General features: G+C 39.5%; 2 annotated features.

The window, feature by feature from the left end:
• Positions 6,929-7,428: an enhancer, noted in NCBI's record as "H3K4me1 hESC enhancer chrX:130398805-130399304 (GRCh37/hg19 assembly coordinates)". NCBI's record gives its function as "activates a minimal SCP1, AML or CMV promoter by ChIP-STARR-seq in naive H9 embryonic stem cells {active_cell/tissue: H9 hESC(naive)}" and the evidence as "EXISTENCE:reporter gene assay evidence [ECO:0000049][PMID:30033119]".
• Positions 7,429-7,930: an enhancer, noted in NCBI's record as "H3K4me1 hESC enhancer chrX:130398303-130398804 (GRCh37/hg19 assembly coordinates)". NCBI's record gives its function as "activates a minimal SCP1, AML or CMV promoter by ChIP-STARR-seq in naive H9 embryonic stem cells {active_cell/tissue: H9 hESC(naive)}" and the evidence as "EXISTENCE:reporter gene assay evidence [ECO:0000049][PMID:30033119]".

The following is a 13,969-nucleotide window of genomic DNA, read 5'->3' as shown; positions in this document are numbered from 1 at the left end:
CAAACTCTCCATCCCTAACCCTCAATCAAGCAGTATATTTTGAACACCGGAAAGAGTTGGTCCTCAGTCTTAGGATAAACGTCCTTTGATCAGATCTGATTCTGTTTTCCAACCTTTGGGTGTTCCAAAGTGTATATTGTCAAGGCTAGTAAAGTTGTGTAAGTTAGCAAGTGATAACGTGATTGCTTTAGCTTTCACCAAGGGAAAGAGAAATGGGAAGATAAGAGCAGAGGGCCAAGTACTGAAATTTTGAGATGCCTCTGAGTTAGAAAAGCAGGGTGACAGTGAGACAAACATGACAGGAAATAACTCTTGTGAAATCCAGACATTGAACCTGGGGTCTCCTGTGTCAAAAGGATTCAAAGAGAGATACTCTTGCACTCAGGGAAAATTCTGAAAAATCTTTCAGTGAGAAACAAATAGTGAGAAATGTTGTGACGTTGGACTATTAGTTGGCTTTCTAAAAACACTCACATATACCGTTCTCCCACTTAGCCAAGTTCTACATGTTTTAGAAGGAAAAAAATGGTTGTCAATTAACTCTGAAATACTTAAAGACAAAGAGTGGCTTTGGGGTTTAACTTTCCTACTTGCTGTCAGAGCTATCTATATGAATTAAGTACCTATTTATAATGCAGAAGTTGTCACAAACTATCTCAATGAATTAAATATCTATTTATAATGCAAACGTAGCTCGTTGCTGACAATTCTCCACATGGTATGTTTTTTCAACCTGGTTGCCATGGGAATCAGTCCCTTTACCCCTGGCTGGCCACTAATCATCAGCCCAGCATCAGGTAATTTCTGGGAAATGGAATCGCAATTAGGATGGAATGAACTTTTGCAAGGAAAATTTGTCTCTGGGATTCCAGGAAGAAAGGCCAAAGACCTCTCTCAAGTTGTAAAAAACAAACATATATTACCCCTCATCCTTGGGCTCACACACTTTTGACTTTTGGCTGTAGCATCTCAGAGCTACAAAGATTGTCAAGGTGGTATGAACCAATCAATCCTCCGGCCACTTCAGAAAATTTTTTATAGCAAGACTAACAGAGAGATATACAGCTTCTTCTTGTACACTTCCAAAGCTAGAGAGCTTACCACTTCATCAGACAACCTGAGAATCTCAAATCATTCTATTGATTCCGTATCTACCTGTGTGTACTCCCTTCATACTCACTGGCTCTAGTTCTGATTCAAGTTGCAACCCCGATGAAATCTACTTCTTATACATAATAATCCTCCAAAGTTTGGAAGATGGGAGTTGTCTCCCCCATGTCCTGTAGTGCTCACTCAGTGGTGCTTCTAGAGTTTGGCCAGCATTCATGTGCAAATGTGTTCATGTAGTTAACTCTCAATTATTCAGGTTCCAGAGATGGCAAAGTTCATGCCTACCCTACCCCTATCAGATTTAAACAGAGCACCTCTTTGATATATTTTATATATCTGTTTATTCTACAAATATTTATTGGCTGCTGTCTGTATGCCAAACACTGTTGTGGGCATTGGTTACAGTAGTGACAAAGACAAACAACAATCCCTGCCCTTCTAGTGTGGAAAACAAACAATTAATATAGTCAGTAATAAAGTATATGGAATATTAGATGATGATAAGTGCGGTAATGAAAAATGAAGCAGAGAAAGGAGATACAGAGATGTGTTTTGTGGGGGAGATTGTGACAATTTATAAAGGGTGATCGAGAAGACCTCATTGAGAAGGTAATGCTTGAATTACAATTTGAAGGACGTGAAGGAGCAAGACATGCAACTATCTAGGCAAAGTGGGTTCTGGTCAGAGGGAACAGCAGATGCAAAAGCCCTGAGACAGGAGAATGCCTGGCCGGTTTGAGGAATGTGAGTAAAGGAGTGTGGCTGGAGCATAGTAAGCAAGGAAGAGAGTAAGAGTTGAAGTCACAGAGGTAATAGGAACCAGGCTCAGAAAGCCCTTGTAGGTTTTTATGAGGACTTTGATTTATGCTCTGAATGAAATAGGAAGCCACTGGAGATATATTTAAATAGGGCCCTCCAGCCTTCTGTTTGGAGAGCAGACAGAGGGGGCCAGAGTGACAGCAGAGAGATCTACTGGGAGACTATTGTAGTAATTTTGGCAAGACAGGCTGGCTTAGGTCAGGATGGTAGCAGAAGAGGCAATGAGAAATGGTCAGAATATTGATATAATTTGAGGAAAGAGCCAACAGAATTTGCTGACAGATTGGATGTGGGGTGTGTTCTGTAAACATTTTCACTAGAAGAAAGAACTGTTTCAAATATTGCCTTAGTGTTTCCCTCCTCAGATTATTTTCATCTCATCCTCAAGAAAGAGTTTGCCAATTCCCCCCAACCCAGGTCGCTACTTCTGGACAGTTTGTCAATGAGCTTGTCATTGCCCATCCAGGAATATTGTAAGTAGGATAAAGTCCTGTACATCTGCAGCAATCTGACCAGCACAGAGTAAAGAGGACAGGGAACCATCACTGGCCGGAATCTCAACTCACCATTTCTATTAATGCCATCTAAAATTACATTAGCCCTTGGGCAGCCAGATCACACTGTTGGCTCGCAGGAAACTTGTGGTCAACTAAAATCCACAGCTCTTTTTCACACAAGCTCTTGCCAATTCAATCCTTTCTTGTCCTTTACTTGTGCAAGTGATGTGTTATTTTGAAATTGGGTTTTTAACTAAAATGTAGACTTGCCATTTATTTTTGTTGGGTTTAATCATATGGATCCCAGCTTACAGAAGTCATGTATTACCACCTAGTGAGCTCCTCTCTATGTGTCAGATCTATAGGCACTGTCTCATTTTCTCTTAACAACAACACTGTGTAAGATTCCTTGCTGTTATTATCCCCATATTACACATGAAAAAACAGAGGCTCAGGGAGATTAAGTACCATCCTCCCAGGTCACCAAGCTCATAGGCAAGGGCAGAGCTAGAATTAGAGTTCAAGTTTGCCTGCTTCCAAAGCCAGACTCTCCCACGCTAAACCTCAGTGAGCAGAGTATCTGGAACATAGTAGATATTCAATAAATATTTTTACTAAATTGACCACCTTCTCAGCCTACTCTTTGATGTATATTATTGAACAAACACTCACATACACTTATGTTTGTTAGACCTTGTTCTAGTGCTTTACATTTATTATGCATCTTAATCCTCACAACAGATCTATGAGGTAGGTACTATCACCATTCACATTCCTTACAAAAAAGGAAATGGAGGCACATAGAGGTTAAGTAGGCTGCCTAGGTCACACAGCTAGCAAGTGTTAGGGACAAGATTTGGACCCAGCCAGTCTGGCTTCAAAGATTGTGTTTATAACCACTAAGTTATGCTCTCTCAGGTTTCTCTGAGATCCTGACCTTGCAACTCTCAAGGGAAGGAGGTGCCTTGGCCTAACTCATCATCATTGTCCAACAAAACCTGCAGTCCTCCTGTGGAAATCTAGTCCAGGCCCCACTTATGCATGGAAGCTGGCCTGTAGGATCATTGAGAAGGAAGACTCATGCATTCCCAAATTTAGACCCGATCTCTCCCCTTCCCTCCCAGAAGTCCAAGCCACTCAGCTCTGCTGTAGAAGTTGAAAATTCTTTCAACTTCCCTCCCTGAGAGAGATAAAGTGATTCCAAAGCTGAGGAGGGGGCCAATGTGATGAGATGGTCCCCATTCTGGGGAAATCCCTGAAAAGGAAACCACATGACTAGTGGCAACAGGTCTGGAGAAGAAAGATATTCCCTCAGGCCCCTCCCACCCCAAACAATGGACCCTAAGCCAAAACTATCATATTGTGTGGTAAATTAACTCTGCAGGATCCTGGCTAGAGTCATGCTTTCAACTGGGCGTGGTAAGAATTTGTGGAGAAATTCAAGCCATTCATGAGTTATTGGCCTACAAAGGATGGCTTTTGTGGTGAAATCCCTGGTTACTTTAGAAGGCCATCTTTGGTACCATATGCAAAAGGTCCAGGAACAATCTACGTGAAATCACAGGCTAGCAGAGGCCAAAATTAATTCTGAGCTTGAGACAAATCCTGTAAAAGGTGGCACTTGGCAAGAAACCTGTCAAAACTAGCCAATGATTCCTTAATTTGCAGAATCATTACTCAAGCCATTGCTCCATTTTGACCCCAACAGTCAGTCTTGGGGAATTCATCAACTGATGACCCAAAGTTGGACTTGACCATATTTATCCAGACACAGTGAAGGAATTCTAGACTTGGAAAATGTTAGAATTGGAAGAGCCATCAGAGATGATACAATGCACAAACTTTCTACAACATACCAAACAAGCGGCTGACCAGCCTCTGCTTGAACTCTTCTAGAGGGGGAGGGGTAGGGGCTTTACTAACTGTAAAGAATGGTTGTCCTTCAATTATCAGGTAACTATAATGGTCAGGAAATTTTTTAGTGTCCTGGGAGCTGCCTTATTCCAGCTTGTATACCCATTGACCCACAGAAAATGTGTAACACAAAATTCTTCCTTAAGTCTTCATTTTTCCGGATAAAACATCTTTTTTTTTTTTGGAAATGCAATAATCAGAGTAAAACAGTACCTTAGAGATGTTCTGATCAACTTTGGAAACAAAGAAACTATCACCTCCAATGTGATGGACATTGTACTTTCATTAATATACCCCTGAGATCTCAATAGCATATTTAGCAACCACTTAACACTGTGGGCTCATACTAAGTTTGAAGTTAACTAAAACTACCATGCCCTTTATAGAATTACTGCTAAGACTTGCCTTCACTCTGAGTTCATGCAGTTAGTTTTGAAGCTGAAACATACAACTTTATATTTGCCTCAAATATATGGGTTTTTTATGTTCATTTTTTAAAACTCTTTTTACATTTTTATTTTTAATTATTATGGGTACATAACAGTTGTATATATTTATGGGGTACATATGATGTTTTGATACAGACATACCATGTGTACTCATCAAATCCAGGTAATTGGAATATCCATCACCTTAAGCACTTACTGTTTCTTTGTGTTAGGAACATTCCAATTTCACCCTGTTATTTTAAAATATACAGTAAATTATTGTTAATTATAGTCACCCTATTGTGCTACCAACTACTAGATCTTACTCCTTCTATCTAACTGTATTTCTGTACTCATTAGCTACCTCCACTTTATCCCCCCCACCCCCAACTACCCTCCCAGCTTCTGATAACCATTATTCTACTGTCTATCTCCGTGATTTCAATTTTTTTTAAGCACCAACATATGCGTGAGAACATGTGGTATCTTTATAGGTATTTGTCCACTTGGCAAATCACTGAATCTTTCAACTTCGGTTTTCCTATCTGTAAAATGGACATAATCACTATTCTAATTTTGCAGGGTTGTGGTGAAGATCAAATGAAACAACATATGTGAAAGTGCTCTGTAATTAGAAAAGTATTATGCCAGTGTAAGGCCTGAAGATGACAACAATGAACATTGTTATTTTCTGTTATACAATGTATACAAATGTCCCTCCAAGCTTGGTCTTAGTTCTAAATTTGGTCAACATCTTAACCTGATCCAAGTGTCTTTCTGGGTTTACAATAATTCATTAAATCCATACATTTTGTATATGATCATTTAACGAGTTGAACCTTCAACTATCCATGCTCTCAGCTAGTCCCCATTTCTCCACCTTGTCTGAAAGGACATCACAGAAGTGTTTGTCAAGATCCTTGCTGAAGCCCAGGTAAATAATTTTTGCAGCTTCTTCTTGTAAGCCCATCCAAAAGGAAATGAGCTTAGTCTGGCATGACTTGTTCTTAATGAACCCATGCTGGTTTCTAGTGATTAGTAAGTCTCTTTCTAAGGGCTCAGAAATCATCTTCTTAATAATCTATTCTAGAAGTTTGCTGGGGAACAACGTCAAACTCACTAGGCTACCATTTGTAGATTCTCCTTGCTTTGGGGGGAAAATCATTGTTTTATTTAGTCTTTTGGCACCTCTCTCCATATCCATGAGTCTTTGAAGACTACCAGCAGAAGAATCCAAGCTTACAAGATAGACCAGAAAGAAACAGTGCTACATGCTAAGTTGTCTACCTTTTCCTCTCATTTTTCTGTAGTGGGAGAGTTCATCTTTCTTAGACTGATGTAGATACTCCCTCTGCAATTGATGTCATAGGGTTTATTTGTCATATTTTCAAAAACCCAGAATGCCAGCGGGCATGTTGGTTGACTATGCTAGTGTTCTTTCCAGAGTGTGCTTTTCAAGAGATGACACTTCTAGAGCAGTGCCTCTCAAACTTTAATGTGCATATGAATCACCAGGGCATTCTGTTAAAACATAGATTCTGATTCAGTAGGTCTGGGGCAGGGCCTGATCATCTGCATTTCTCACAAGTTCCTAGGTAATGTTCATTCTATTGGCACACATATCATACTTTGTGCAACAAGGCTCTAGATTAATGGTTCTAGACCTTGGCTACATACAAGAATCACCAAAAGAGCTCTTTAAAATCCCTATGACCAGATTGCACCCCACCCCCCGAGATTACCTAAATCAAAGTCTCTGAGGTTGGGACCCAGGAATTAGTATTCCTAAAGTCCTCAGGTTATTCCCATGCACAGCCAAGGTTGAGCACACTCTTCTAAAGCTAGACCTCAAAAATTACCCCCTGGCTCATACAACTGCTGAAGTGTAGGTTCCCACCTGCCTACTACAGGCCTATGCGTAAAGACAATCTTTTTTGTTAAAATGTTGTTGACTAAGAGTATTGACTTAAGAGACTGTATTTCAATGTTGGTGATTTTAGGGTTACTCTTGCTCTCCTACTGCTCCCTACTACCATAATTGAGGGGCCAGAAGGGTGAAATGTGTGGGAAGAAGGTTAGGTTAAAGTAGTTTTATAGCAATAAAAACTCACTTTCCCCTCAGTGTGTTATTTTATCTAACACTACCACTTGCACAACAATTTACAAAGTACTATAGAAATGCCCAGGTTGTGGTTTGGCTTAGACCTCCATAGAGAACTCCATTTATAAACATCTCTATTTTGATCAGAGTGAGTACACACATAAAACAGAATATGCCTTATTGTTAAGCAAACCCTGTGTTTATTGATAGCGGGTCAATGAGAGCAGAGGCAGACTAGCCCAGGCATCTAAAATAATTCGAGACACAGAATATTAAACCTGAGGCTGCAAGACAAATCATTCAAAGGTAGACTCATCCACAAGGATTTCTCGACATAAAGGTTAAAGGTCAAGACTATGAAATAACAAAAATGTGACAGAAAGCAAGCATTGGAATTGTATGGAACTCGGCATTTCCTAGTTGAGCAATCTTGATATAAATCCTCTCCCTGGCAGCCAAGCAAAGGGAGCAAGCATATCGGTCTGCGGGCGGGGTGTGTGAAGGGCAACAGCTTGGCTGGCACGCTAGCTAGGGGCATACCAGAGGGAGAACAGCCAAATGAGGCCAGGCTCAAAGGGGAACAAAGAGCAGACTGGATGGTGGCAGGTCTCAAAAAAGTTCTAGGCAAGATTCCTCCCTCAGTAGCAATTCTTGCTGGCGCCAGGCCTGACAATCCTTTGGGACAACATGGAAAAGGGCCACTTTGTCTGTTAATAGGGTCACCATTATTACACTACTGACCATTTTACAACATCAGAGAGTCAACTTGGGGCAAATCCCTTTGCTTTACACACTGGTCACACATTAGGGGACTTAATAAGGGAAGACCTGGTAGGGAGCATTAGAAGTTCCTGAGTACTTTTCATTAAAGGCTCTGTCAAAAGATTTTCCAGTGACTCATCCCCTCCTGGAGACCTCCTGAAGACAAAGAAAACATGAGATTTCATTTACCTTCCCCTTCTTCAGAAATGAGCTTGTCCCTACTCCTCACACCCTTCAAACCTCGCAAAATGGTTCCAACATTTTATTCTAAACCTTCTGTCAGCCTAGTTGTGTCAGAGAGAGAGGGAAAATAACCCATCTGGTATCACATCTTAGTTCCAGATGCCACTCAGTGGTTGAAGGGTCACACTACTGAAGGCAACAACTTCGGGGTGAGGGGTTTGTTGACACAAATTCCTGGGGATGCTTCTTACTCTGCCAACAGCTCACCATTCTCCTCTGTCTTCCATGGGCCCTGGGCATTGTTCTGTGCTCTCTGTTAAACAGCTCCCACTCATCCTCCTCCCAAGGCTAACACACAGAGATTCTTTTCTTTTTTCCTTGTCTGACCAAAAACAAGCCATAAACCCTTTTGAGGTAGCGTGGTACACAAACAGTCAGTTTTATAGTATGGGGAAGAACATGAGCTTTGGAGCGAAAGAGCCCAGGGTTTGAATCTTCCACTTAGCCACTTACCAACTGCATGTCCTTGGACAAGCCATGAAAACTTTCTGAGTCTCAGCCTCTCTTTTTGTAAAGTTGAAGTGAATAATAATAGACCTAATCCTGAGAGTTGTTAGAGGATTCGCTATGATGTCTGTAAATTGCCTAGCATGCAAAAGGTAATCCATAAATGGTAGCTGTAATTATTTTTTTCTGCAGATTTTTCTCTTAGAAATCATAGAGAAAACAGATAATGAAGTTCAAAGGATACTAACTGCAAACAAAAGTTAAAGGCTACAAAGCCATAACAAATTTAAAAGGAAAATACAAGAGAAAAATTCTAAAAATCACAACCTGAGGTTATCATTGAAATATGAAGAGAAATAACCTTGAGCTGTCTCTGCCCCATGTTTGCTCAACTTCAAGTTTGTTTTCTTTTTCTTTCTCTTTAAACTGCAGCTTAAGGTAGAGATTAAAGTCCCCAGCCCAGGAGGCAGACAAGCCTGTGACCTTAGACAAGTCCCTTAATTTCTCCCGCCTCGGCGTCCTCATCTGCAGGAGGAGAATAATGAGTGTCAAACTCTTATGAGTGCAATAAGGATGTTATGTGCTTAGCACAGTGTAAGAGCTCAGGAAAAAGAAGTAACTTTCATTATCTCACATTCATATCTTCTTAGAAATTCTGGGTCTGCGGTTCGTAGACTCCATCCACATCTGAAGAATTCTTTCACCTTCTCTTGATACCTAGGTCCTCCTACGCTTTCTGGTGAAACTCAAGCTGACTTGTTTCCACCTATTGGTTGAACTTATTTATTTCAATCACTCCAACAAGGAAGAAAAGATGAGAGAACACAAACCCCAAACTGTAGGAGACGCTGGGACCTTGGCGAGCATAGGAGGAAAGGTAGGAGAGGAGGCAGAGCTTGGAAATCCATTCATTTCTGCCTTGTTGGCCCTCTTCACATGCTAAAAGCAAGCAGGGCGGCTCTGGAAGGCAGGAACAGCGCTTCAGCTCTGCTGCTCCCTCCAGTGGTGGGGCCTGGAGAAGTCACGAGGTGGAGTCAGGAGTCATAAGGTGGAGTCAGGAGGCTCACAGGGAAGGGGAGATAACATCATCAGTGACTTTCATAATAATGACAACGGAACAATAATCGACAATGGGCTCATAGGGAAGAAGGAATAATAATAATAATATTTGGTGGACTTTTGGAGAAAGAGGACAAAAGTTCTTGGAAGACTCATGGGTAAGAATGGATAATGATAATTTAATAAATATGGCAAAGACTATAGCAATCCTTAGTGGGTTCATGCGGAAGTGGGAATAATCATGATTACAAAAGCTAACACTCATCAGTTTCTTCCTACACATCAGGCACTGTGCTAAGTGCTTAAAATACATTATTTCACACAACCCTACAAGAGACTTGCAATGCTGAAAGATTAAGTAACTTGCCCAGAGTCACAGAGCTAATGAGTGACAAAGCCAGTATGAAAACCCAGGTTTGTCTTACTCCAGAATCTGTGCACTTTCCCCTGGACCATGTGGTACCAATGGAAAGAAACCAGCAGACCCAGCTGGTTAGAACACCTGTTTGCCTCCCAGTCCCTCTCAGCTATAAGTGTTTACAGGGCTGTGGGCACTGGTTGCCATGGGAGCCACCCTCTATCCCTAGTTTCTTATTACCAGTGATGGACTAGGGGGTTTCTGGAAAATAGAATCCTCCCCCACCTCCAGAAGGGTGGCAAGTTCCCTACTGAGTAGAACAGTCTGGTATGCAGACAACCAGGTGTGTCATCCTCTCATAAATGTGTGAACTGAGAGACATGAGGGAGATTCCTCTTCCCTAATTACCAATGCTTGAAATTGGACCTGTGGAACATTCTGTGCTTTATTAAAATGCAAATACCTGTTTTTATTTATTTACATCACAGTGTGAATCTTTTAGTTCATCGTTTTCAAGAAAACTAGTCCCTGAGACTTTAGTCTAATGTAGTTAGCATGGCAGGCAAAGCCCTTCAAAGTCTCTAGTCCCTGTCTCTATCTCCAACTTCAACTGCTCCCACTCTCCAGCCTAACATCCCCTACCATACTGCAGCTCCCAATCAATAATTTCTTTATGTTACTGTTCTCTACAATAACATATAGAATATAGAATAATATGTATTTTCTTGGAGTAACCCCTACAACTCTCTTCTTCACCTAATTCTTAGTCATCAATCAAAATACAGTGCGGCTATCACCTTCTTTCAGTAAGCCTCCCCCTACCCCCAACCATGACAGTGACATTATTTGGCTTAGGTGACCATCTCCTATGCTATTAGAGTAGCCTGTATAGTAGTCTAGCTTTCTATCTATATATGTATACATATTATATATGTTATAATTGGAGTTGGTATTATATTTCACTTACATATAAAATAGTATTTATTTAGTGATAAAGAACGGTAATAATAATAAATGCACATGGTTAAAATATGCAAACAGTACAGTAGATTATGAATTGAAAAGTAGAATATGTCCATATCGGAGCCTCCCACCACAGTCTTAATCTCCAGAGGTAAGCTCTCTGTTAACAGTTTCTTGTGTATTTTTCCAGAATTGTTTAATGCATATGCAAGAATATCTGCATATGCTTTGTTGTCACATAGATCAGATCATACTGTTCTGTACCTTGCTTTTTTCATTCAATGTATCTAGGAGCGCTTCCCATATCAGAGGATATATATATATATATATATATACTTTTTTTTAATTTGCTACATAATATTCAAAGGATGGATGTACTGTGATTCACTTACCTATTGAGGAGACTGTCTTTTTTTTCTATTGTTGTTTTGGTTTGGTACTGCTGTGCTTGTTTTGTTTTGGTTTGCTATTAGAAAGAATGTTATAATGAACATCCTTTTATAAATGTATATTTGCTTGTTTATGTAAATGTGCCCTAGGGATAAATTCTTAAAACTGGAATTGCTGGGTTAAAGATTATGGCCTTTTACAACCTTGATAAATATGTCAAATTGCCCTCCAAATATATAGCTCCAAGTTTTACTTTGACTGTGCATGAGAGTTACTGCATCCCTATAGCCTCAGAAACCTTGTTCTATAAAACTTCATCAAATTTTAAATGTGATAGGGGAAAATTATAACTCATTGTTTTGATTTGTCTTTAAACAATTAAAAGCAAGTTTGAGCAGAATTTTTATATCCATTGGGTATTTATATTTCTTTTTCTGTTAAGATTCCTTATCCAATTTCTAGTCTTTTCCCTTCATGAATTGTAAATGCTTCAGGTATATTTTTTAAAGTAGTCTGTTGTCATTTTTGTAATACATATTTTTTTCTTAGTTTGTCATTTGCCTTTTGACTTGCTTAATTATTTATTACTGCCATACAGAAATGATAGTATTTATGTAGTCAACTGTATCAAATTTTTCCTATATATATATATATATTCAGTTTTTGTAGCATGCTTACTTAGAAAGGTTTCTTTCATTGCAAGATTATAAAAGAAATCACCATGTTTTCATTTAGTACCTTATGGTTTTTCCATCTTTTAATATTGAAATTGTTGATCAATCCAGAATTTATTTCGGTGAAGAGTCACTTGGGATCCAGATATTTTATTCAAGTAGCTAGCCAGTTGTCCAATCACTTTGTATTTTTTAATGTTTACTTGTCTTTCCCACTGGACTCTGAGTTCTTCCAAGAAAATAACCATATCTTATTACTGATTGGAGCTCAACATTTAACACTGTGCTTGATACATGATAGCACTTGCTATTATAGAATGCCAGAATGTGGAATGAATGCCAGATACTGTTTCAACTTCCTCTGTTGGTGAACAAAGCCTACTTAAATAAAATTAGTAGCCTATATGTGCCACATTTTGCTAAGTCTACTGCTAACCCAGTGGGTCTCTTCACATCAGCTACTGCCTGCTACCTATAACTTCTTATGCAAGCCAGATGATTACAAAGGCCAGATAGATGTGAGTAGAGCCTAATTAAATATTGCAGGCACATGGTAAAAAGAAACATAATAAAGCTCCATCTGGCCAAGAAGCCCCTTACTCCATAATTACTAGTGCCTGAAATTCTATCTTTAGGACTTTATATTCTTTATTAAAATGCAAATATCTTGTTGAGCTGGGTTTTTTTATTCGTTCACATCACAGTGGGAATTTTTGTTGTCCGATTCAATGCAAATGCAAGTGTGCACACACACACACACGCGCGCGCGCGTCTATAAAAACAAGTTTTGAGACGAAGGCCAGAAAGAAGTAAAGACCATCCAGGGGCACAAGAGGGATCACTGGGGAACAAGGAGTGAGAGGGGCGCATGGAGAAGAGCACTTACAACTCATGTTCTAACAATGACACTTTAATATACCAAGCTGCTTAATCACAAAATACATCATCCCACTCACCTCTTCTCAGCCTCAGCAGTCTAAACTTTCTGGACCTATTGGATATATTTGTAGATAACTACTTAGGGAAGATCACATGAGCCAATTAAGCGCTATTTTCTTTGGAGTATCTCCGAGAATTGTAGCTTGAAAGAGCATTTGGATATTATGTTTTCCTTTTAAAAAAAATCTAATAGTTGATTCTGGTGCCCAACATGCCTTCTCGTCCTCTACTGACCCCAAACTTAACATTCACCCGATTAAAAGTACTTTGGGGAAGCAAATGGTAAAATAAAAATGCCAAGATGAATCTCAGCATCCTTCTGATTTGATGTTTTAAAATATATATTGTAAAATTCCTTCTCCCCTATTTTGCCTGGCTAAAAAGAAACCCAAATGTCAAGGGTCTTAAATTGGTCTGACAAGTAAACTTGCAAGCCTGCTCAGCACCCAGGCTTGTGCATTTTGGACTTGACGTCAATGAACAATGGGGGTTAAGAAAGTCATTTTCCTGGTTTATTAGAATCTCTCTCTCTGGGCCCAAGTCATTCCTCACATGCCCTGATCAAGTTGGTCTGAGCTTCTTCCATCACAAGCTGTTTTTCATTTACTAGTTTGTATGAAAAATTGACCATAAAAGTCTGTACATGAGCCACTTGTTTATTGCTAATCTATCCCTGGAGTTGAAGGGAATAAAATAACTAATGGTCTCTGAAATTAAGAGACTGCCTTTATTAAAAGTGTAAATTCAATGGAAGGTGCAGGATTTGAGTTAACACCCATTCATATAATAGCAAGAATTCGTGTTGGAGTCTTCCCTCCAGAAACTCTGAGGGCAGAGCTTATGAAAAGGCAAATAATAGAAAGGGAATAAGACACTGAACCCTTTAGGGTGGGGGGCTGCCACCAGGCCTAAAAAGACTCTGAAATAAGAAGTAGGGTAACACTAGAAAAAAATCTTTAGTTTTCTCCCAAATTCATCTGAAATCTGGTCCTAGGACTAAGTGCTCTGGAACTTACAAATAATTTATTAACTCTGGAAGATAAAATAATAGTAATAGTAGAGTTACTGGTAATACTAATGACAAGTTACATTTACTGAACATTTACTTTGTGCCAGCCACTGTATGCATAGTAACACATTTAAGCCTAACAATAACTCTAAGGAAAGCACTATTATACTCTTAATTTTACAGAGGAGGTAATTGAGGCTCAGCCAAATTAGTAACTTACCCAGTGTCATATAAATGATAAGCAGAGTTCTTCTCC

The sequence above is a fragment of the Homo sapiens genome, chromosome X (assembly GCF_000001405.40).
Source record: "Homo sapiens chromosome X, GRCh38.p14 Primary Assembly".
NCBI lineage: Eukaryota > Metazoa > Chordata > Mammalia > Primates > Hominidae > Homo > Homo sapiens.
Note: the sequence above shows the minus strand (reverse complement) of the source record. Positions and strands in the feature narration are given on the sequence as shown.